The sequence below is a fragment of the Homo sapiens genome, chromosome 7 (genome assembly GCF_000001405.40).
Source record: "Homo sapiens chromosome 7, GRCh38.p14 Primary Assembly".
NCBI classification, from domain to species: Eukaryota; Metazoa; Chordata; class Mammalia; order Primates; family Hominidae; genus Homo; species Homo sapiens.
In genome coordinates, this window is record NC_000007.14 from 111,218,223 (window position 1) to 111,245,228 (window position 27,006).

General features: G+C 33.9%; 1 protein-coding gene and 1 long non-coding RNA gene across 26 annotated transcripts in view; both read right to left on the reverse strand.

Moving 5' to 3' along the window:
- The window catches only part of LOC124901725 (uncharacterized), a 71,230-nt gene extending 45,890 nt beyond the window's left edge, over positions 1-25,340 (reverse strand). Inside the window, exon 1 of the long non-coding RNA XR_007060477.1 lies at positions 1-25,340. This exon is cut by the window's left edge and continues 34,597 nt beyond it. This is a non-coding gene — a long non-coding RNA (uncharacterized LOC124901725).
- The window catches only part of IMMP2L (inner mitochondrial membrane peptidase subunit 2), an 899,849-nt gene that overhangs the window by 555,579 nt on the left and 317,264 nt on the right, over positions 1-27,006 (reverse strand). The window lies entirely within an intron of this gene.

Consider the following 27,006-nt stretch of genomic DNA (forward strand, 5'->3'; position numbering starts at 1 on the left):
ATGCAAGACATCACCAGACCTGGTAAACCAAGGTTTTACAAGTCTTACCAATTTCTGTGCACTTCCTTTTAAACTTTTCAATTCTTATAAATGTCATATTTCTTATGAAAATTAATGTCTTCCTCCTGAAAGAGCTGCAAATAAAGAATGCATGTACCTATGCTATTATGTTGTATCGCCTACATTTAATAAAACACAAGTGGAAACTTTCACCATATTTTCAAAAGTTTTATCAGTTTTTTTTTTCCCATTACAATGTTAAAGAGAAATGCACCAATAAACCCCAGGCAACGTAAATAAAACGTTCCCCATATGATCTTAAAAGAAATCACAGAAATATCCAAGGCTATACACTCAGCTAGATCTAAAATATTTTCGTTAACCTAAAGACAGTTGTGAAAGTCTCGAGATGGGAGAACTCCAATTAACCTAGTTCATTACCAATAAGGCTTTAATTCAGTCAGGTACTAAAATAGTTGTTTTTTCTGATTAATTATTTCAGGCTGACCAGTTATAGGCCAGGGCTACGTACATCAATGTCACTCACTTGGTTAGAAATGACATCAGTGGAAATTACTTTCCCCATGAACAGTTCTGATATCTGAGCCCCTGACTACAGCCAGTTATTACAAAAGTATAATAAATCTTGAAAATCAAGGGCCTGCCTCTTCTAATACAAAATAATAAATACTTTTCTTAAAATCCCAGAGTTCTGCTTAAAATATGAAATAACAAATACATCCACAACTTAGAATATCTATACAAGATCAAAATTCATCTATGTTGAGCCACTAAAACTTGTGAAGGAGTGAAAACAGGGCATGAAATAGAGGTATTAAGCTAGAAAGAAAAAGACTACGTGGCTAACAAAATCAACTATTGATGTATGTTATACTATTTGGGTTTAGCTGTTTAGCTGTTAACCATCACAAGTTATTTTTACATGGAAATTTCTAACTTACTCTACTTTGAAATGCCAAATTACTAAAAAATTTTAAAAGCCTCTTTTTGAAATCTAGAATAATGACCCAAATACAGTAAAGTCATAACTTTTTTTCTTTGTTTGAGGCACTATTTCTAAAAGTGTAATCCTAAGACCACCTGTGATGATCAATATGCTGATGTTCAGACTGTTCCCAAGACCTAATAAACCAGAATCTCTGGAAATAAGGCCTAGGACCCTAAATTTTAAACAAATAATGCAGGTATTAATATTTCTGCATTGGTTTGAGCTATTGTATTTGCCAGTGGATAAATTTTAAGTAAACAGGGCTAGCTAAACATAAAAATTAGCTCTAATGATATCATAAAATTAATTCACATATTATTCAAATTAAGTGAGTCTCTATTTTTGCTTACATATTTTATTATGATTTCTTAGGATGCATTATCTTATGAAATAATGAAATCACATCTAATTTAATATGGCTGTCTTTTTGCCTTAGCTGTCAGTATTCTATGATCTCAAATCACTGTTTGGTTGAATCAAATTCAACTGCAATAATTAAACAGTACCACTAATTTTTTTGGTCTATAAAACAAGAAATTAATCATGTTTTTTTACCTTTGTTAACCTGTTTCTATTGTGTTTAATCTGAAAAGCTTTTTCAATAAATTAATGGAAGTAAATGAGGTATCCATAAGCAAGAAAGTGATCTTAGAGTAGTGATAGAATGATTCAAGCAATGGGAATATTATTTTAACTTCTTTTATCAGAAGCCAATAAGTAGCTAGTGGAAAAAGAAATTTCACAAAATAAATTTGGAACCTAATTCTCAGACTACGAATTTATGCTCACACTATTTCTCCAAGCTCCACTATAGAATTATGTCACTTATCTACTAGGTTAGTGCAAAAGTAATTGCAATGTTTGCCATTTGAAACCTAATATTACATTTTTCCAGGTACTGTTAAAGAACAAACCACTTACCACACCCTATTCCCACCATATTAAAACAGCATAGGCTCACAAAGGAAAAAAATGAAATCAGTTTCAAAGTCAGAGCTGAGCTTCTACTTATAATTCCTTTACATGTATTATAAAGTAAAATATTTTATAGGTATTATACGATATAAAAGATGAAGAATAAAACATTGTTTGGTTACCAGACAAAAAAATAAATCCTATAAAGCAAGTTCAGATTTTAAAACAAATCAGATGGTGTTTCTGAATATGTAAAATAAATTTCTTTAAAAGATTTGGAGGCATAAAAGCTAGATTTAATTGCAGATTTAAAAGATGGTTTAATATCAGAAAATTTATTATATTAAATGCAAGAAAAATAATTGTTAAATTAAATATTCATTTGAGATAAAAAGTTTTCTGTATTACTCAGGCTTCTCCAGAGAAACATGATGGATGGATGGATGGATGGATGGATGGATGGATGGATGGATGGATACAGAGGGAGAGAGAGAGAAGACAGACAGAGACTGATAGATATACACACACATATATTTACTGTAAGGTATAGGCTCAAGTGATCATGGAAGTAAAGTCCCATAATTTTCCAACTGAAAGCTGGAGCCTCAGGAAAGACAGTGATGTAGTCTGAAGACCTGAGAACCAGAGAGCCAATGGTATAGATTCCAGTATGAGTCTGAAGGCCTGAGAACCAGGGGAACCGAGGGCAAGAGATGAGTGCTACAGTTCAACGGTTAGGCAGAGAATGAACTCAGCTTTCCTCCATCTTTTTGTTCTATTCAGGCCCTCAATAGATTGGATGATGTCCACCCACATTGGAAAGGGCCATTTGCTTACTGAGTTCACCATTTTAAACGCTAATCTCTTCGAGAAACACCTTCACAGAAACAACCTAAAATAATGTTTAACCAGATATCTGAGCATCCTGTTGCCTAGTCAAGTTGACACATAAAATTAACCACCACACCTTCACAAACAAGGAGTAAAGGAAGCATCTCTACCCAAATACAGAGTAATGTAGAGTATCTCTTAAGAGCTTACAGCATATATCACAAACTAAAATTTTAGTCACATTACCATTAACATAAAAACAAAAAGATATATATCTATTCCGCTGCTTCTCTCATACTGCTCTAGAGATAATAGTCAATATCACAAGACTACTTGAAAAATTTTAAAAATATGTATTAGAAAGCATTACCCATATCTGTACGTTATGACTGCCAAAATAGAAAATTTTAATGGATTCTGTAGCAAATTATTAGAAGATTTCAAAAGTAGCTTGTTTTAAGACTAGCAAACAAAAACTACAGACTTCCTATAGACAAGTAACAAGCATTTCAATACTGAAACAGAGAGAGAGAGAGCAAGAGAGAGAGAGATAACGTGAGCCTATACACACTAGCAACAATAAAAACATACGGTACACAGGGGAAAATGTGTATAATCACATTACGGGGAAAATTATAAAACCTTAGCTCTATGTAATGAAAAGTAATTCCATGTTCACATGTGGGAAAAAAATATAAATACAGCAAATTTGTGGCAATTAATAGATCAATTTGAAGTCATTCCATAGAGTTTTTCATAGAAGTTGATAGTGTAATCTTGAAATTCATATATAAGGCCAAAGAGCCAAGAATAACAATGATAACTATGAAAAGATAGTACAAGGTAGAAAAACGTCTCCTGCCAGATACTGAAACTATCATTATTAGAATAGCATAGCATTAGGCCAAAGACACGCAGCTAGACTAAAACGACAGAACAAAGAGCAGAGAAACAGATCCATGCCAGCATGGACATGAAATATCAAAGAGATGGCATCACAGTCAGCAGGGGGATGATGGGGGAAAAGTAAATCCCTACCCAAGACTAATTACAAAGTAAATGGGGATTTACTTTTTTCTTGTCTTCCCCCACCGATGTATAATGCCACCACTAATTCCTGATTATAATGCCACCTCAATTTCTGACAGGTAAGACCTAACTGTGAAAAGCAAGATGTGTAGATATATTAGAGGTATAATGCCGCCTCTAATTCCTGATCTGTAATCCTACCTCAATTCCTGATTGATTAGACCTAATGTGAAAAGTAAAATATAGAAAAATATATCTTTATAACACAAGAGTAAGAAAATTCCTAAACAAGAAAAATACCTATGCCTAACAAAACAAAAAAACTCTGCCACATAGAAATTAAAATTTTTGTACAAAAAAAACACATGAGCAAAATTAAGATAAGCCACAGACGAGATATTTTCAAGACTTATGACAAACAGATGATTATTATCCAGAATATAAAAGGACACCTACACATCAACAGTATTTTTTTTTTAAAGCTTAATGACCAAAAAGAAAAATGAGTAGGATAGAAACAAACATTTCACAGAGGGAAAATAGTCAATATGCATATGAAAAGATGTTCAGCCTCAGTAGTAATCAGGGAGATGTGCAATAAAACTTCAAGGAGATGATATTTGGATATATTAAAATTTACAATCGAACAATACCAAGTTTTATGAGGTGAGCTGAAAATGAAACATTCTTATATAAGAACGTCAGTGAGTAAGGAATGTATAAGTGTATAAAATAGCAAAACTACTTTTGAAAATAAGCTGACAATATTTAGTAAATTAAAGAAATGTATACCAAAGACCTGGCAATTCCACTTCTAGTTATATGCCCTAAAAAATCTGTTGTCCATGTGGATAGGGAAGTATACATAACAATGTCCTGATATCGGTACATATAGCAAGAATTGAAAAGAACCTACACAGCCATCAATAGTACAACAGATACATGAATTATGGCATACTCACTAAAAAATACTACACATTGTATACCTACATCAGAGTTACATATATAAATATGAATGATCTCAAAAGCAACATTGAAGAAAAAAACTGTTGCAAAATGACATAGAATGATACCAAATTTTATACACTATTAAAACATGAAAAACACTATATATATTTATCAATACAAATATATGTATCAAAATATAAAAATATGCATTATGGAAAAATGATCAGTAAATTCAGAATGATAATTAACTCTTGGTAGTGATGGACACAGCCTCACGACAAGGTATACAGTAAGTTTTAATTATTTTTGTAATATTTTTTCTTTAAGAAAGGCAGAGCTAGAAAAATGTTAAAATACGATAAAACTGGATGCTGCAAACATGGATATATGTTATTATTCTCTATCATTTGCAGTGTTTTAAAAATATTTTCTAACAAATTAAGAAAAATTATTTTTTAAAGTCTAATTAAGCACAATGAACTCTAGGAAGTGTTCAATCCTCTTGGCCAGAAAGGAATACCACAAAGAAATAAAATAATGTTTAATTAATTGTTATAATATGCAACCATCTTTGCTATTGTAAACTCTTCAAAACCCTTTTTCATTAATTCACACCACGTATGTCAGCCTTTTGTATTACTAATCCTAGCATATGATTATAGATTAGTCAGTCTACTTTGTAACATGCTTAATTACCCAGCAAATCTCCATTCTCTGTATTGTTTTGCCTTATATTGGCTATAGGGTATATTTAACTGTTTCCTGCAGTTCTTCTTGCAGCTGAAAATTTCATACCTGGGTTGGCTGATATTTATTAAGTTTAAAAGAAAGTAACCTTCATGGTTACAACAGAATTGTGAGCAGTATCAGGCCTTCGCTGAGACCATAGCTCCTATGTGTAGCTTCCATTTCTTCAGTTACACAATATTTTTATCTAAGTCAACAGCCTGTGCAGGCATCTTATGATATGAAATGATAAGAGAAACCAGCTACATAGACTAGGGAAAAAATATGGAATGCCTTTTAAATTGTTACAAGAAAAGAAAGAACACTATACACAAGAGGAAACTGAATATAGAAAACAGAGCATCTCAATTCTGTTCTGCCACTCACTGTGTGGCCTTAGACCTTAGGCAACCCACTTCCCCCTCTCTCAACCTGGGTTTACTCGTGGAGATAATGACACTGCCCTGCAAATCTCACAGGACTGGTGTGATGGCCAAAAGAGATGATGCATGAGGAAGTGCTTTGTGAACTGAAATGCATTTCAGAACCACAAGTGAGAATGTCATTATTCTGACCCTTTCAGAACTAAAGAGTATACTGGTAAAATGAATATACTAAAATTCTTTGAAACAAATAGATTAAGGAAAATTAACTTAATGGCCTCAGCAAATGATGGTTTGTACATGTGTGAGTCTATCTGTCACAGGAAAATTTCCATGAAAATATAAACACCTGCTAATGACATTTTAGAGAGGAACCCTGTTAAAAGTAGAAGTATCTAAGGAAGTTGAAGAAAGGTGTTTTAAATACCATCTTCCAAAATTACTCAAGTAGTAAACTAAATGATGATTGCAATTTGTGTGCAAAGACTAAGGTAGATACTTGGTGACAGAGGGTGACAAGATGCAGAATACTGTGTGTTGCTGTTTTCTTTAAAGCAGTGGCTCTTAAAGTGAACTCAATGGACTCCTGAGATCCATGAGAACCTTTCAGGAGTTCATGAGGGCAAAATTATTTTCATAATGATATTAAAATGTTATTTACCCTTTTTGATATGTTAATATTTTCACAGATGATATGAAAGCACTGGTGGGAGAACTGCTAGCAGCTTAGCATAAATCAAAGCCTTGGCACCAAACTTTACTGAGTCATTGTACTCTTCACTGCCATGCACTGTCATTAAAGCAAGCAAAGTCTGTTTTATTTAAGAATGTCTTCGATGAAGGAGTAAAAATCTTAGTTCCATTATATCTCAAATTAAATGTGTTTTATTATTCTGTGTGGTGAAATGGCAAATACACATAAAGCACTCACTGCAACTAGAGTACAATGGTTGTTTAAGGAACAGCACTCCTGGTTGTTTCCGTTGCAAGCTGAACTAGCCACTTTTTTCCACCAAACACTTTTTACTTAAAGGGACAACTGACAGATAAGCTATTATTATTTAGACTTGGATTTTTGGCAGACATTTTCACAAAAATGGACAAAGTTAATCTGTCACTTCAAGGAAAACAACTGACAGTATTCATTACCAATGATAACATTAAAGCTTTCAAGCAAAAAGTAGAAGTTTGAAAAACTTACATCTGTCACTGTGACAGTTATAAGAAAGCCTTATATTGCCACTGTAAGAGCTTACTAATATCATGACTTTTCTGATGCAGCAGTAGTAATATTAATAAATGGGATTTGTTTATGCTGTATAATAAAATGCATAAACATTTGGAAGATATATAACCCAATGAATCTATATTTTCCAAATGACCAATACATGCATGGGTAAAAGATTTATTCAAGGTGCAAGATAAACCAATGGATTTTGGAGTGAGAAAATACAAAAAGTTCATTGATATGGCATCAGATTCCACACTGTAAATAGTCTATAGGAAAGTACTACTTATTGAGTTTTGGTATAATATCAATATAATATCAAAGAAGAATGTCACAATTATCCATCAAAAGTGCTATAAAATACTCATCCCTTTTCCAGTCAAAATGGTGAGATAGAGCCAAAAAAAAAAAAAAAAAAGAATGGGTGGTTAAGTGGAGTGATGGAGTGCAAAGTAAATTATCCAATTCCATCACATGGTTCCTTAAGAAGACTTGTGCACATTACAATACATATTCTGACTTGCATGTTGTTTCAGTGTGATTTTGCTTCCAAAAGATAAGACTTGTTAAGTGTTCTTATGCCCTCAGGCTACTATAGTCACTTTATATATCCCCCTAACTGGGGATAAGCATCTCCCCTCCTGTACCCCTTTATCATCCTTAGGCAGTGGCTGGTAGGGATGGAAGTATGAACATCTACCTCATTTAATTTGGGTTTGAACAGACAAATAATTCATACTCCAGAGCTCTCATGAAGGTTTAGACTAAAGCTATCCTTGAAAAGACTTTGCCTAAAATCATACCTCTTCTTCCCCATTCCCTTTTTTTCCCATTCTGTCACTCCCTAATTGATTACTCCTTTTTTTGTTTTGTTTTGTTTTCTGAGACAGGGTCTTGCTCTGTTACCGAGGCTGAAGTATGGCACAATCACGGCTCACTGCAGTCTCGACCTCCCAGATTCAACCAATCCTCCTTTCTCAGCCTCCTCGGTAGCTTGGACTACAGCCATGTGCCACCATGCCCAGCTACATTTTATTTTACTATTTTATTTTTTTATTTTACAGACAAGGTCTCACTATGTTGCCCACGCTGGTCTTGAACTTCTGGCTCAAGCGATCCTCCTGCCTCAGCCTCCCAAAGTACCAGGATTACAGATGTGAGCCACCATGCCTGGCTGTTTCTCACTTTCTTAATAAATTACTTGCAAACAAATCCTCATCTCAATGTCTGCTTCTGGGGAATTAAACCTCTGAGAGCTAGCAACAGGTCATTCTACTGCTTGATCATTGCGCTCTTTGATTTTCTGCTAAATGATGATCAATTCAACTACCACAGTAATGGGGGAGACAATGTAAAATTTCTCTTTATAGCAACATAATTATAGCTAATTGTGAAGTGAAATAAGAAATAAATTTTAACTCTGGCAACAATAACAACAAAAACAAAGTGTTGATTATGATCTTTGATTCATTTCCCCAAAAAGGGCATTATCAGGTACAGTATCTTTGAGTCTACAATAATTGTAACATGCTTTTTGGTAAACTGACTAGAAGGAAATGGAAGTAATATAGCAATAATACGAAGGGACAGAATGGAGAGAGCTACATAGAAAATACATGAGCAAATTTATTGTTCAAGATAATAATCAGTGGAGAAGACAAGACTGGAAATGCCAGTAAAAAGGGGAAGTGATTGGTGGATTCATATCCCTGATGAAATAGGAGGAAACAAGATAAAGAAAGAAGGCAATGGATAAGAGAAAGAATGAAAACAAATAAATTGCTCAGGTGAATAAGAAGGGGTGGGTTGAAGCTGCGTAAGGGGCTTTCAATGGTTCCAGATATCATTCTCTGGCATTGGTAGCACAGAATGCTGCACTTGCCACACACCACCACCTGGTTTCACCTTGCAAACAGCCATACAGTGCTCCATTTACACCCACACACATTTCTCACACTATTCTGCATTCTTCCATTACCACTACTTTTTTATCTCCTTCTCCATTTTCTATATTTCATTTGCTACCCGAAGTATTACTTTAAGAGATTCCCAAACTTCTTCTTCCAATCAATACATGTTCCCAGAAATCAATAAGGAAAGATGGAAGTAGAATATATTATAGGATATCTCCCTGTTTTCTTTTAAGCTTCGACTATAAGGATTAGTTATTTTTACAGCACCCAAGAGAAAACACTAGTCACAGGAAGCAGTTCCATATGAAACCAGATCTATCTAAAACTGCCTTTGCCAGTCCCAAAGGACAATGTTGAAAAGGAATCCCAAGAAATAAATGTGTCTACAAAATTCAGAGCCTATAAAGACAAAAACTGAGGAGAAACACTTAATAAAGCTACTCCCATACTCTGCATAAGCCAGAAATAAACCACTCCTAATATGGCAACCACACAATAAACATCTAATGCTCAGAATGTTTGTCAAAAGTATGTTGGTCAAATGTACTATCTTTCAACATTTAACATTTTATCAATAAAGAATTCCTAGAAACAGAATTCTGGCATCTACAAAAAATATATATATCACATAGTAACCCATTTTAAAGTTAATCCAGAGTGGTATTTATAACATTTTGAGTAAATCAATACCTTGGAATGATATTTCAAAAACCACTTCTACTATTAATCTGTTGTCTCATTAGTTGTATTTGTTACAGAACCTAATATGACAAGTTTTGATTTCGACAGCATGTAGTGATTTCAGAACCGATTCCATTGAAACCTAGCCATAGGCCACAGAAATCTATCAGAAATAATGTCAGGATTGACTTCAGATGGGCCAACCAAGAATTCCCTCATTAAGAGATTATCTGCTGTTGAAATACGTTTATGTTCATGTTTAAAACAAACATTTCTGAAACACAAAATAATTCTACTCCTCTATATTCAAGAAAAGGTACTAACCACAAGACAATAGCATATAAATAAAAGCCACAAACCTGAAAGGCTGTCAAGGTGGGGACAGGAGCACTTGGAACACAGGCTGGAATACAACATGTGTCTGGCTCAAGTACTTAACTTGATAAAGTCAAGTCTATTTCTATCAATTTGTATTAGGAGATGAATAGGTTCTCATTAAAAAAAAATGAGACTCAAAAAGAAAAACTTTTATTAAAAAAAATCAAAGGTGTCAAATCTGGAAATACCTCCCAAAAGCCAGGAAACACTGAGTTCTAAGCACAAGAACCAAGACAGCTTCCTGATGGTCCTTGAGACCAGATGGCCAAGACCAGTACAGACCCACAGGTCCCATCTCTCAAGTGTGTGTTAGAAGTGCAAGAAGACTGGGGAACTAGTCTGCAGAAGTATCCATTCCGAGAAACTGACCATACATAAAGTTTGGTGAGTTTTGTATGAAATTTCCTCTATTGGGCAATGGCAGCATTTATGCCTCTGAAACTTTGTCAAAAATGCATAAATATTCTATAGTTATTTGCAGAAGAACTACATTTAAATATAGCATATCCTATGGCTATCCATCTTCTTGGAGTTAACAAAGGGTCCCCACCATCTTAGGTGAAAGGTATTTTACAATGTTATAAAAAAAAATTAATGGATATATGTAAAAACAAAGGTAAAATAATTTATACCTTTCAAAAATGACCAAGAAGTAACAGTTAAACATGGTGCAAAGAGGTAATTCAATAAACACTAGCAATGCGTGTGTGTGTGTGTGTGTGTGTGTGTGTGTGTGTGTGTGTATCAGCCCGAAACCTCAGAATTGCTAGTTTTTTTAACCACTTACTATTAATGTCATACTCAACCCGGATTTTACATACCAACAATTTACCAACACACTAACAGTTTACAAAACATCCAGTTCTACGCGGTTGCCTTTATTACAAAGTAACTTCTTTCCACACTGATGACAGATATAATCAAATAGAAACACAAATTAATTCTTAATATTTTTATAATACTTTTTTAAAACTACTGATTTAATAACCCTCAATTTCCCTTTGAAAGGAAATACCGAGAGTATTTAATGTATCCTGACCATGAAACAGAAACTTAGGATAGTAAGTGATACGTATGTATCCATTGATACAATCTGTATCATGATACATGATAAAAGTATGTGAAATGATTTTATCAGTTTCAGGTATGCAAATCACAATCAGGTGATCAAGGTAATTGCTTTTCCTTAGGGTTGAAATTATCCCTGGTTTCTGATAGGAAAAGTACTGTGGAATGTGCTAAAGTGGTTCCAAAGGTTGCCACACCAACTCACCCTACTCACATTCCCACCGTCTCCTTCCATCTTTCTAGGGTTGATTGTGTGGTTTAAGTGATTGTGTGGTTTAAGTGCTTAACTTACCATTGGGAGAAACCTCAACAATGGATAAAATTAGATTTAGTGAAGAATTTCCAGGACATTTGACTAAAAGAGAAAAGGAATTATCGTATATATTAAAATAATTCATATCATTAGTACACACCACACTTTTCCATTTCAGAGGCAAATGTTTGATAAAGTTCAATTAGAATCATTTTTTCACTTAGTTGGAAAATGATTCTAAACTCTGCCCAAATATGTGGGAATGTTACATTGGAGAAATGCTCAGAAAAAAGCCCAAGTGTAAAGAACGGAAGATTATGTAAGCTTTGGTAAAAATCTCTGTGTTACATTTTCTCAGCTCTTAAATGTAATTCCAAAAAAGACCCTGGACAGTGTGGTATGGGCTAGCATATGGTTTATTTTCAGCTTTATGGAACAACAGGGATTTGCAAGCTTTGATAAATTCCCAACTATAACCACAGAAGATCTCTTCGGATTTCACCAAATAGAAAACAAACAATAATGAGTTGCTGGGGTGACAGGGTCTTTATTTGTTATGATGGCATAGAAAAAGAAATGCGTGCCTAGGGCATTTGTTTTAATCATGAAAATGGGGAAGTTAGTGCTCAGCATTCTTCATTGCTGGGTCATTCTTACAGCCAATTTAATTAATGTGAAGAACAGCTTCTTGTCTTGTAAATAATTCATTTCTTCACTTCACAAGTATTTACTGAGGTCTGATACCAATTCAAACACTAGCAAGGTCTTCCATACTTTAGATCACACAGGAATTTGAGGAATAAAGAGATTCAAAAGGGAAGAAATGCAGAAAGAAGTGCAACAAGATGAAATACTTAGTTTACTCCTAATTTTAAGACAGTTACTATGTTCATAAAAGTGTTTTATGTGTAATTTCAAAAAAACTTTAAATAATCAAATCCCATAGTTTATCCTGAAAGAAAATAAACATGGGAAAATGTCAGCTTTGTCTGATAGAAAACTTTAGGCTTAGGTGGTGGTATACATTTATTTATTCATTCCACCAAATATTTTTCCACCAAATATTTATTGACTACCATACAGGTGGCAGGCTCAGTGCCAAGCTATGCAGATTTTAAACTGAAAGCTGCTCTCATGGAGCTTTCAGTTTACTGAGAGTGTATGAGAGCAAGAAACAGTAATCAAACACTAATGAGTGTGCAATTACAAACTGAGATATGATCTAAAGAAAGGAAGCACAGATATGGGAATATTTGTAACAAAGGTACATGTCTTAGGCTTAGGGTTACTGAGGAAGGTGGATGATGAAAAACTTCTTTGAAGAAGAAATGCTGGAATTGATAACTAATGAATGGGTGCAAATTAATGGGAAGGGAGTGACATCTGACAAAGGCAACAAAATGTACAGAAGCCCTATGATGTAGGTAAATAAGTAGTGGCTGTGTGTGTGTGTGTGTGTGTGTGTGTGTGTACATATAAACAAAAAGAAAGCTTTTATAATACTGAAACCAATAAATTTTCAGATGTCCTATCAGCAATCAGATTACTTAATCTATCTGCCTTTGCAAGTACTTAACAACTGACAAGAAAGTGAAACATGGATCTGTCTCCATTTCTCAAATGCAGGAGGTAAATTATTATGATATTTTACACCATCATCTATTTGCTGCTACTACAATTAATGCATTAGTGCTTAACAAACTTAATACTTTTTATGAAATGAAAATCATAATATCAAAACCCCATCTTGCACAACTGTAGCCTTCACTCTTAACAGCCACAGGTCTTCTTTGATTTTCCCAAAAAGGCAAGCTCTATCCCCACTAAAGGTATTTACCTAGACTTTCTCCCAAATCTTAACAAGAAAAAATAATTCCTAATCACGCACCGGATCTCAGCTTAATGTTACTTCTCCAATGAGGTCCTCCCTGCTTGCTCATTCTAAAGTAGGTTGCTGCCTGGTTTTTTTTCCCCTCTCATACCAGTTGTCAACTTAGTGTGTTTATTTGTTTACTCTGTCTTTCACAATGTAAATCCCATGAGATAAAATATTCATGACTATTTTATCTACCAAGAGCAACACATATGTTAGGGGCTTAGTAAATATTTTTTGACTGAAAGTGAATGAATAAATGATGACTGAGTACTGAAGTAACATAAAGTCAGAGAACTATGAATAAATATGTATTATAATCTTCATAAAAAACTCTATAAGTGTAGGCAATTCGAATATAACTGAAACACTCTTCTGAGATTTTCTCAGGGAATATCATATGATACAACTGTCAAGTATAATAATTTTTTTCTATAAAAATCACCGCCAAATTTCAGTGCACTATCTAGGAAGTCAATCTGAATCTTAAGACAATTCAAACTGGAAAACAGGAAAGGAGTTCTCAAGTATAAAAGCCCTATTAAACAAAATTACTTTCATACATAGAGACTTAGTATCACTCATAATTTAAAAGAAATGTTTAATAAATGTGTACTAGATTAATAAATATTTAGTATTTCTGTATTTTCTCCACAATTTTAAGTGTAGAAAAGTCACATGAATTTACATATGATTCTTCAACACAATTATTGTTTTTATGAACTTTAAAGAAAAGTCAGGATATAGAATTTTTCCCAAAAAATTTATAATATTCTCCCAGAAGCAGCTTAGACTCATGTATAGAATGAAGAATATTCAATTAGGAGAATAAAGAATTCACAAACACCAATAAAAATAGCCCACAAATCACACAGACATTAATAATTAGTTCACTATATTGATTCATTTTGGAGGGTTTTTTTTTTTTTTTTAAGAAAAACATTTAGGTATGTGTGAACTCAGGAGTCATAACCTGCAATGAACCCAACTCTGTAACACAACACAGATACCACAGATGGACTGCAAAGGCCAGTCCTGAGGTTAGCTAGATCTGACATGGAAATTTTCAATTTTCTGAACCAATAAATTCTTTTGTTAACTTCTTTTTTGTTAGCCCAAGTTACATTAGATTTTTGACCCCTGAAATCAAAAGAGAATTAACCAATAACAAATACTAAGAACTCTTCACTCTTCACACTCTGAGTCATCACTTCCTTCTCCATTCCATCGCATAGGATGTTTTCAGAATGACAGTATTAAAATGAAAATGTGATTAGATCATTCACTCTACAGTTTCTCCTTGTTTACAAGATAAATATTAACCCTATAGCTTATCTCTGCTACCTTTACCTCCCCACCTACCATTCTAATTCATACACACTGTAAGCCAACAATTCTGAACATTTACCCATTCTCTGTGTCTGCAATCCCCTTCTCAGAGTCAGCTCCTCTGGAAAGGAGTTACCTTCCTCCTCAGGCAGCATTAATACTGGTACGATGTACTCCCAATGCATCTTGCTTCGATCTCACTGTATTGCAATTTCTGCTTTGCCAGGCTACCACCTACCCCTACTAGACTATAAACTGCTTCAGGTCAGAATTCCTCCATATTCCCAGTGAAAACACTGAACCTAACTCATCTTAGATGCTCAATAAATGTCTGCTAGATGAATGTACACTTTATCCAATGAACGTAGATTACATTCAATGCATGCACATAAGTTAGCCACTTTTTAAAATGAGTAATCCCTTTACAGCATGATTAATAAATACAATCTCTAAAATAATAGTTTATTAGTAAAAATGGCCTTATATAATTGATGGTTAAATACTTTTTGTATATAAATAAATGTGATCTCATTTTTAAAATGTCACATTTCACTCCCTGAAATAAAGACCTCAAATTGCTTTTTGTAATAATGTAAGGTTCAAAATACTCTCTAACATTTAAAAGGAAATCAGAATTTGAGGAAATAGTCATATAAAATCAGTGGTAATTGACAAACTGACTATATAATAATTTCACTGAGATGATTTCTGGTATTAAATGAATGAAAAAGATAATCGTAACACAGAAAGGTTATTCAAAAACTTGACTAAGAAAAAAAGTCACCAATAATTATTTTATTCAGGGAGTAAATGTTATTAATTGCCAAAATACGAATTTTAAATTTGAGAAGTACAGATTTGTAAGTATATATTTGTTTGAATAGTATCAGATTGGCCTTTTATTGGCTTATTGGTATTTAGTGCCAGCACTTACAATGTGAACTCAGCAACAGAAGATAATTCTTATGAAATCAACATTCAACTTACATGAAATAACTTAAAAACTTACCAACAATAGTCTAATGATTATATACCTTTACCAAACAATGTCTAATGAAAGTCCAAATGTAAAAATTTAAAAATTAAAATTATAGAATATAATTTTTACACATCAATTGTTTTGTAGCACCATCTCGCAAAGTAAATATCATGTTTATTCTGTAGCTAAAATTTCTCCCCACAAGCAGAAATTGTTTGGAATATACAAAAAGACAACCCATTAACAAGTAACTTTAAGTAATGTAGTTGGATGGTCATTATAATACAAATGGTGCTATAAATTTCCCTTTAAGTATTGTTTTAGCTACATCCCACAAATCTTGATGTGTTTTCATTTTCATTCAGTTCAGTTCAGTATTTCCTTAATTCTTCTTTTATTTCTTTCTTAACCTATGGGTTATTTAGAGGAGAGTCATTTAATTGACAAATATGTGGAGATTTTCTACAAGTCTTTCTGTTATAGATACCTAATTTAATTTCATTAAACTCAGATAATATTCTTTGTATGATACAGATGCCAGTTACACCAGATTCATAGGGTTGTTCAGGTCTTCTATGTCTGTATCTATTTCTGTCTACTCTGTCCATCAATTACTAAGAAGGAATATTTAAATCTCCAACAAAAACTGGATTTGTGTCTTGCTCCTTGAAGTTCTTTCAGATTTTGCTTCAAGTATTTTGATGCTGTTATTAGGTACATAAATGCTGGGTTTTATGCCTTCTTAATGAACTAACCCTTCTATCATTATGAGATAATCTCTTTTTTCCCTGGATATATACAATCATGATTGGATTTGAATCTACCCTTTTGCTACTTGTTTTCTACTGCTTTTATCTGCCCTCAGCCTCTTTTCTCTCTTTTTCTGCCTCCCTTGGATTAACTGCATATTTTATATTATTCCACTTTATCTGCTTTCTTGACTTATTAGCTATAATTCTTTTAACTGTTGTTTTAGTGGTTGGTTCACAGTTTATACCTTTAATTTATCATGAACTGTCTTCAGGTAATATTATACCACATCATATATAGTATAAGAAATTTACATCAGTATTCTTACATTTCCCCCTCTCCCAGCCTTTGCACTACTACTATTATAATTTTACTTCTATATATGTCACGAAGTCCACAATATATTTTTATTATTTTTTACTTAAACAGTCAAATAACTTTAAAAGAGTCTGTAAGGGGAGAAAATTACCATTTTCAGTGTTCTTTATTCCTTTATATAGTCCAGGTTTCTAACTGATAACATTTTTCTTCTGTCTGAAGAACTTTTTTTAGCATATCTTTCAGTACAGGTCTGCCAGTGACTAATTTTTTCATCTTTACTTCATCTAAACAAGTTTTTATTTCATCTTTATTTTTGAAAGATATTTTCACTAGGTATAAAATTCCACATTGATGGCCTTGGACAGTGGCTCACGCCTGTAATACCAGCACTTTGGGAGGCTGAGGCAGGCAGATCACCTGAGGTCAGGAGTTCAAGGCCAGCCTGACCAACATGGAGAAACCCAGTCTCTACTAAAAATACTAAATTAGCCGAGCGTGGTGGTGGGCACCTGTAATCCCCGCTACTCGGGAGGCTGAGACAGGAGAATCGCTTGAACTTGGGAAGTGGAGGTCGCGGTGAGCTGAGATCATGCCATTGCATTCCAGCCTGGGTAACAAGAGCGAAACTCCGTCTAAAAAAAAAAAAAAATTCCACATTGATAATTTCTCTCTTTCTATAGTTTAAAAATGTTATTCTACTGCCTCTGTGTTGCACTGTTTCCAAAGCAAAGACTCTTAACCATCTTTGTTACTCTGTACCTGATACGTCTCTTTTTTTTGGCCTTCTTTTAAGATTTTCTCATTATCACTGGTATTAGTTTGATTATAATATGCCTCTGTATCATCTTCTTGTGCTTGGGGTTTTTTTAGTTTCTTCTGAGTTTATAGTTTTTATCAATTTTCTTTCCCACCATTTTTTCAAATATTTCAGTCTAAAACTCTCCCACTTTCCTCCTCTTCAGCAACTTGAATAACATGAATACTGAGGCACTTGAAATTGTCCTACAGTTCACTGATTGTCTCTTTTTTAAATTAGCCATTATTCTCTCTGTGGTTCATTTTGGGTAGTTTCTATTGTTATGATGTCACCTCATTAATTTCTTTCTTTGTAGACTAAACTGTCACAGATCCATCCAGCAAATTTTTTTCATCTTAGGTCCTGTAACATTCATCTCTAGAATATAGATTTAAGTCTTTTTCACATCTTCCATTTCTGTGCTTAATGTCTTCAATCTTTCCTCTCCTTTTTTGAACAAATTAAATGTGACAATAACTATTTTAATGCTTTGTCTACTATTTCTCTCATTTGTGTTTTTTTTTAACTGATTGATGTTCTCCTCATTTTGTGTCATGGTTTCCTGTGTCTTTGCATTAAAAGTAATATTTTTACTAGCTTCCAAACATGATTTTCACCTTTTGGGGTGCTACATATTCTTGTGTCCTGAGGAACATCCTTGAGCTTTGTTTGAGAAAACAGTTAAGTTACTTGGGAACAGCAAATCCTATAGAAGTTGGCTTTTAAACTTTGTTAGGCAAAACTGGCACAGCCTTTAATCTAGGGGTGAATATGCTCCACTACTAGGCAATATTCTTCTGGTTATTCTATCTGATGCTTCGTGAATTATGAGGTTTTCCACTCTGGCTGATATGGGAACATGAATAATTCCCAGCCCTGTATAAATTCTGAAAACTATTCCCTGTGTTCTTTTGAGGTGATTATTTCTCCAGCTTTTTGTAGGTTCCCCACATACTGATGGGTCCTCAGCTGAGGGCTGTACGAGGACCTTCTGCATATCTATATAGTTTTCTCTCTGTGCATCTTCTCTCCAGTCAGTACTCTGTCCTGCAAACTCTAGCCACCTGGACTTCCCCAGACTCCCAACTCTGTCTCGTCAACCCTAGACTACCAACATTCACCTGGGTTCTCCTCCCTGTGCTGGGCCCTGGAAAAACCTCTCAAGGCAATCAGCTGGTACAATCAAAGGGCTTACCTCATTTGTTGCCATTCTTAAAGGATCACTGTCCTGAACTGTCTGATATTTAATGTCTGAAGACTCCCTTTCATACGGTGTATCTGGTCTTTTTTGTTTGTTTCTGGTAGGAAGGCAAATCATGTTCCTGTAACCCCATCTAGGCTGAAACATTCTAATACAATTAAATGGCCATTCTCTGGGAATAGAAAGTAAGAACTTACAACAGTGACGTTTCCATAACACGGAATATATAATAATTTTCAAATGGACAAAAAAGAACAAATAATACCCAAAAGAAGAAACTTAAATATCCTAGTTGATGGAATAAATATTTCCACACCCAGATATAATGTCTCACACATAGAAGGCTCAAAATAAATACTAAATTCATAATTCCTTGCTTTGAAGCTAATTAAAATTAGAAAAGATAATTCAGTAAAAGGAAGAAGAAAACAATGCTATCCTGTGCCTTAGATACTGAGTAATTAATTCAATTTGATGTCCTATAAGAATAATTCATAAAATTGTGTATTGTGTCCTGTTTTGATTTACTGGAAGATTACAAACTAGCATGCCATATTCACATGTATTTTACCTTCATCTGAAATAAGTTAAATAAGAATGATTTTATAATTTGTTTCTTTCAAAAAGTTATTTTTTGGCAATATTTAACATAGTATAACTAAGATAAACTATATATTACCTTGTTAATATTAATGGTTAATATTAATTTTAATAACCATATATTTAGGCAAGATTTAAAAACTACAAAATAGAAGAAATTAAGCAAAAATAATTTAAAATAAAGCATTACTATGACTATAATATTTACCTATAATCATAGAAATTACACCTTATAAATGTATATAATCTGTTTCTTTAAAAAAAAAAACTTTAGGACAATTTCTACCATCATTCGGAGGGTTCAATTAGTCCAATCTGCTGTTTAAGATCTAGAGGCTTTATTCAGAGAATAATGCAAGGTCAGTCACCTTAGCTCATGAGCTCTAAAGTAAAATAGCCTTCAAGATAAATAACACCTCTATAAATTACTTATGCTCCCTAAGCTTTACTTTCCTGATCTGTAAAATGGTGATAATGGTATCTATCCAATAAAGTAGCTGTAATAATAAAAGAATGCACAAAGAGCACCTAACATAGTATTTGGCACTAAGCTGGCTATTATTTTATTAAGTTTAATGTTATGCTGCCTAGAAGTAAAGCCCTTATGTGAAGAAGATGGACTCCAAAGCTGCATTGTCTTATATCCTATTCTCAAACATTAAGGTCAGTCTTCTGGTATGTCAAGCTGTAATTTCTGAGGCTGCCATTAGTATTGCTTATGGAAACATAAGACCAAGTAAGGACACATAAAGTTGGAGTAATCAGAAAACAATCCTGTACCATAAGGAAGAAGACAGGCTGGAAGTCTGGAAATAGATGATGTATTACAGGGTAGAGAAGGTGAAAAGCCAAGGATTCACCCTATGGAACCTGTAAGGTTTTAAATCTCGGCTCCACCAGTTTATTTATGTTTGACTTTGGGCAAGTTACTTGACCCTATCTGTAAAGTGAAGACAATAGTAATAATTACTACATATATTGTTAAGTTTCACTGACAATACGATGTATCACTCACTCACTAACTGTTAATATTATAAAAGCCAGGAAGATTGGAGAGTTACAAAAGCATCAAATACAAGGTTATAGAGATGGATTTTTTATTAAGGGAAGGAGCAGATTCCAGGGTCAATTTAATATAATTCTGTCTCTCTTTTAAGACCCAATCACAAATAATGAAAAAGAAAGGTTTTAGAGTGATAAAAGACCCCTCAAAAGGTAAAATATCCATGCATGAGGATAGCTGTTATGACATAAGCTGAAGTGAAAGCTGATCTAACACACACTTGTTACATAGAAAAATAGTTCTAATATTTTTTGATAATTTGGAATAGGGTGTGGAAAAGTAAAAGTTTTGCAGTCAGACAGACCTAGCTTGAGTAGCTTGAGTTCAATTTTGCCACTTAGTAGTTGTTTGACCTTGAATAAGTTCATTATATCCTCTGAACCCTAATTTTCACAACTGTAAGACAGGCATAACAACAACTGCCTTTCAGAATGATACTGAAAATTAAATGATAAAGTATGTAATGTTCTTGCCATAATTGCAATAATAGTAGCTTTCACTTTCACTATTTCACCAATAGTGAAAACCATTCCCAAAGAAACAGGAACCTTTCCAATATCTCTGCCCCACTCTGAATAGGACATTGTTTTTGTTGTAACAGACCATCTTTCTCATATGTAAATCTGAACTAATTCCAGGTCTCTGTCAATTTGAATAATGAGTTCAAATCCACATCCTGTTCAACATTAGTTAATTTGTTATCCAAACTATCGCTATGAGTAACTACTACTTTACTTTCCCTGAAATCACCTCTTTCTCTTATTTTCCTTACACATATGTCACATATAATATTCTTTATGATCAAGCCTCAAAAGCCAGCATTCCATCTCCTAGGCCCTAATTTCAACAAAGTCTATTCAAACGAATTAACAACAAACCATTGTTAATTTTCACAAACTTTCGATAAAATTTGAATTTAATGCTCTCATACTTAATGACAAGACAAAGATAAAATGTGCACGAATTATAAACACCTCCTTGGTTCAATCTATCATATTTACCAAAATTTGGAAAACAAAAATAACACTCTCTAAAGGCAAGGGTTCTTAATTTAGGTCTAGTTGATTATGATAGAAAACAGACAACCACATGATGCAGAATATCAACCTGATAAGACCAATTCTTTGTAATCTCTTTATCTCTGATGATCCTTTATGCAATCCAGAAAACTTAATCTTCTCCCACATTTTCAACTGCCTGTGTTTTACTGCCAACTCTGATCAATTTGGCAAAAAGATGAGAGCAGCAATCACTGGAAAAAATGTAGGGGGAAAAATGAGCCAAATCAACTGATTTTGTTTCAATAGACTATTTAATCTGCCCAATGAGCAAGCCTAAGTGTTCTTGCTAAAGGTAATTAAGTGGTATTTTGTAATTCCTGTTGTTCTTTTTAAAAGGTCTTGTTTTAAAAGTGTTTTAAAGGTGTTCTATAATGAAACACTTTTTGTCCTTAAGGAAACACCTTTTGTCCCTAAGGAATAAGGTAGAAATAGATGCTAAAGTAATAATTTGGCATTACCACCTTATTGTCACAATAATGGATGTTTTGACATTGACAATAGATTTCCTCATTTGTACAATCAAAATTCAATTTGAATAGAGTTTTAGTAGCAGCTCTTAAGGAAACAAAGGGTATCAATAATATAGAATGTTTCCTTAAGGATGTATAGCTACTGCTATGTTTCCATTTCTTCTAGTCAAAAATCAATGTCACACTAGGCTATAATGAATGGCTGCTTGCCAGCTGCACTTAAACTGACAGAAACTCATCATTCCTTTAAAAACTGTTCTTCTAAAAAGAGTAATTTAATAACTTGACTTATTTAAGTTTGATTCAGACATACAATCTAACCATGGCTTAGAAGGCATTTTACACATAAGAAAAAATAGGCTGTCTTTATTAGTGTTAGAGATGTTTACAACACAGTCAATTTTTAAAGGAAGAACAGAAACTGCAGTCAATTATTAGATACATATTCACACCTGTTGTCTGTCATGTTTCAAACCCCTTCGGTGTGAGATGTAGTCAAGGCAAATAAAACGAAGAAGAACCAGCTGCAAAAACTGATTTTGTTCTCATATGGTAATTAAAAGGAAAAAGTGTACCATGTGTTGTATCTACGACAGTCCCATTACTTCATGTTAGGGACAGTCCCATTTTCTTTTAACAGATTTTTGTTGCGGTCAAGTATGTTATAAAGGCTAGCACTTGTAGGTCTAGGCTATTGACCTAATTTATATTGGTAGTCTGCCCAATTACCTTTGCTAAATTTCTCCCTGAAGCATACTAGTCTGGTGTCAGAAAAATTAAACATTTTCATTTTCATTCCCACTCTAACCCCCATACTTAAGTCACACTTAATGTGATTTTTTTAACATCACACTAGACATCAGACCTAGTCAGGCCATGTCTTAGAAAGACAGGTGCTATAAACACCAAATGCTTTTAAAATGCAAACCACAGAGCATCTAAAACTACAGGTGGTACAGTTATAATAAATGAACACTCAGAACACATGTAAATGCTACACTGTCATGGCCGTATCCTTCTCGGAAAACCTTTAAGATAACAGTAACTTAGTTACTGTTCGAATGGTAAATATTGTATTATGTTTCAATTGTGCTTAATTTACGTTTAAATCTTACTTTCAAAAAACTATTAATTTAAAATGCTTCTGAATATTATCAATAAGATTACATATATTTAAAGCATCTGAAAATACACTCCAAGTCACTATGGATGTGACTCGTTTGAGGAATATATAATATAAAATAATTTGAAGTTAAAATAGATCTTTACCCAAAAAAGGTCACTTTAAAAACACATTCACCACTGTCTTCTATGTATTGAACATAAAGTATGATTTGCTTTGTAAAAATTTTATTCTTGTACAACAACAAGAAATACGCAAAGATGAAAATACATATGCTCTGGAACTAGACAGAGACAGATGCAAATTCTGGCTCTAGAGCTTACAAAAACAAGACCAAATAAAATGCTTAACAAAATTAATGCCAACCTAACCTACTTGGCAAGGACAACCCTACACATGAAATGATTCTTACTGATACAATGTAACTGCCACACAGAATTGTTTGACTCAAGAAAACAAAATGCAACTTGTTATGGCATTTGTAGTTAAGTACCAAGGGTCTAGCCAAATGTATATTGTGCTGTAACTTTTATACATAAGTATAAATTGTATATATATATTATATAAGTATAAAGTGTGTATATATATTTTATATATACACTTTTCCACCAAGGAAGAAATTACCAGATTTTCTCTGTCTCTGGATGATTTATAGAACTGAGTAACTTGAAACAAAATGAAGTAAATACATTACAGTGGGAAAAAAAAGTTTTTACAGTCAATGAAAAGAGATATTTGCAGGTATTGCTACGGTATTTGCAGCCTGTAGCAAAACATGTTGTTAAAGTTTAAAATGTCCTAACATTATACGTGAAAAATATGATTCACCTGACCCAACCATGGAAAATGCCTTTAACCAATATGTGAAATAGGTTTTCTTTCTAGATTATGAAGAATTATTCACTGAGTTTTGCATCATAGAAGTGATTTTTTTAATGAAGGTTAAAATGAAAACAATAATTCAGAAAATAGAATATTAGTTTCCCTTACCATAAACTTTTCCTGAATATGCTTTAGGAAAATAGAGATAGCAAAAACAAAGCAGAACAAGGACAGGTGTGTGTTGCTCAGTGATCAGTCAGTTCAGTCATAAATCAGTCCCTTTTAGACGCCGATTTTAATGTAAAGCAGAAGTATATCAGCTAGGAGAAAATCCAATCTCTTCCAACGTTATTTATGACAAAGCACTCCTAACTGAAGTCCAATTTGTTTGTGGAATTGCAGTCATTTTGATTCAACTAAACAATAAATGAATCTGCCTTTCATAGCTCCAACTCCAGAGCACAAAAGAGAACTACATCACAACACTTCACGATCCAGGGGCGCAGTTAAAGGAACAGTGGGAAAGCAGTTTTTGGAGTGGGGAAAAAAATCCAATGAGCTACAAAATACAATTCATTCACCTGAACCACCCACGTACTTTTTGCATCGGCTGTATTTCACCTAGTGAGCTATTCATAGCACACAAACGAGCTTGCTGGGAGCTTTATTACAATCCTTCTTCATTCTGAAGGCCTCGTGCATCACTGAATGCTGGACATCTCAGATGACCACTCTAAATACTCCTCCAATTCAACCAAAGCCTATGGCACAACTAGATCATGATAATGATTAAAAAAGAGAAATTCTGGGAGGCTAAAAACACAAACAACAGAGAATTTGTCTATAAATTTATAAATATTCCTCAACTAATTAAGATTTTGGACTCCGACATACTATTTTCTTTCATAATGACTCTATTTAGAAACAATTATTGTCCAATTGTTCTCTAACTCACTGGTATTTCTTAATTTGTTACATTTACTAAGTTGTATTTTACCAGGGAAGAAAAAGGAGATCTTAAAATATTTTTTTCTGTCATATCACAAATCTCTTTTTGTGCACTTTTCTTGTGAACCACATGTCTGAAGGTGAAAAATATTGTTACTAAAACAAAATTCTTATTATTTTTATGCCAACTAAAGAGTAGTTGTTTTGAGAAGAAACAACAGGAATTTTTAAATGTATGGCATGACGTTGCCTTGCTCACCAGCCATTCAATCATTCCCAAGATACATATTCTGAATGTGAAGTATTTATTATATATTGAATTATAAAATATTTATTATGCTAAAAGAGTTCTCAATAAATACTAATTCTCTATCTAAAACTCTTGTAGAATTAAAAACTATGACATAACTGAGGCATGTTGACAGGAATGTACACAGTACTAGTAAATTCCCAAGCTGTTGAAATTTTATATTCTTGCATGGACTAGTAATTTCCACAATAGGTTTTCCAGTCCTTCATGTTTTACATATATAATTTTAAAAGTTATATGCTTATAGAAGTAAAGTGTTCAACTCTATATTTCTTGTTGCTTTATTTTTTTTTTTTTTATTATACTCTAAGTTTTAGGGTACATGTGCACATTGTGCAGGTTAGTTACATATGTATACATGTGCCATGCTGGTGCGCTGCACCCACTAATGTGTCATCTAGCATTAGGTATATCTCCCAATGCTATCCCTCCCCCCTCCCCCGACCCCACCACAGTCCCCAGAGTGTGATATTCCCCTTCCTGTGTCCATGTGATCTCATTGTTCAATTCCCACCTATGAGTGAGAATATGCGGTGTTTGGTTTTTTGTTCTTGCGATAGTTTACTGAGAATGATGGTTTCCAATTTCATCCATGTCCCTACAAAGGATATGAACTCATCATTTTTTATGGCTGCATAGTATTCCATGGTGTATATGTGCCACATTTTCTTAATCCAGTCTATCATTGTTGGACATTTGGGTTGGTTCCAAGTCTTTGCTATTGTGAATAGTGCCGCAATAAACATACGTGTGCATGTGTCTTTATAGCAGCATGATTTATACTCATTTGGGTATATACCCAGTAATGGGATGGCTGGGTCAAATGGTATTTCTAGTTCTAGATCCCTGAGGAATCGCCACACTGACTTCCACAATGGTTGAACTAGTTTACAGTCCCACCAACAGTGTAAAAGTGTTCCTATTTCTCCACATCCTCTCCAGCACCTGTTGTTTCCTGACTTTTTAATGATTGCCATTCTAACTGGTGTGAGATGATATCTCATAGTGGTTTTGATTTGCATTTCTCTGATGGCCAGTGATGATGAGCATTTCTTCATGTGTTTTTTGGCTGCATAAATGTCTTCTTTTGAGAAGTGTCTGTTCATGTCCTTCGCCCACTTTTTGATGGGGTTGTTTGTTTTTTTCTTGTAAATTTGTTTGAGTTCATTGTAGATTCTGGATATTAGCCCTTTGTCAGATGAGTAGGTTGCGAAAATTTTCTCCCATGTTGTAGGTTGCCTGTTCACTCTGATGGTAGTTTCTTTTGCTGTGCAGAAGCTCTTTAGTTTAATTAGATCCCATTTGTCAATTTTGGCTTTTGTTGCCATTGCTTTTGGTGTTTTGGACATGAAGTCCTTGCCCACGCCTATGTCCTGAATGGTAATGCCTAGGTTTTCTTCTAGGGTTTTTATGGTTTTAGGTTTAACGTTTAAATCTTTAATCCATCTTGAATTGATTTTTGTGTAAGGTGTAAGGAAAGGATCCAGTTTCAGCTTTCTACATATGGCTAGCCAGTTTTCCCAGCACCGTTTATTAAATAGGGAATCCTTTCCCCATTGCTTGTTTTTCTCAGGTTTGTCAAAGATCAGATAGTTGTAGATATGCGGCATTATTTCTGAGGGCTCTGTTCTGTTCCATTGATCTATATCTCTGTTTTGGTACCAGTACCATGCTGTTTTGGTTACTGTAGCCTTGTAGTATAGTTTGAAGTCAGGTAGTGTGATGCCTCCAGCTTTGTTCTTTTGGCTTAGGATTGACTTGGCAATGCGGGCTCTTTTTTGGTTCCATATGAACTTTAAAGTAGTTTTTTCCAATTCTGTGAAGAAAGTCATTGGTAGCTTGATGGGGATGGCATTGAATCTGTAAATTACCTTGGGCAGTATGGCCATTTTCACGATATTGATTCTTCCTACCCATGAGCATGGAATGTTCTTCCATTTGTTTGTGTCCTCTTTTATTTCCTTGAGCAGTGGTTTGTAGTTCTCCTTGAAGAGGTGC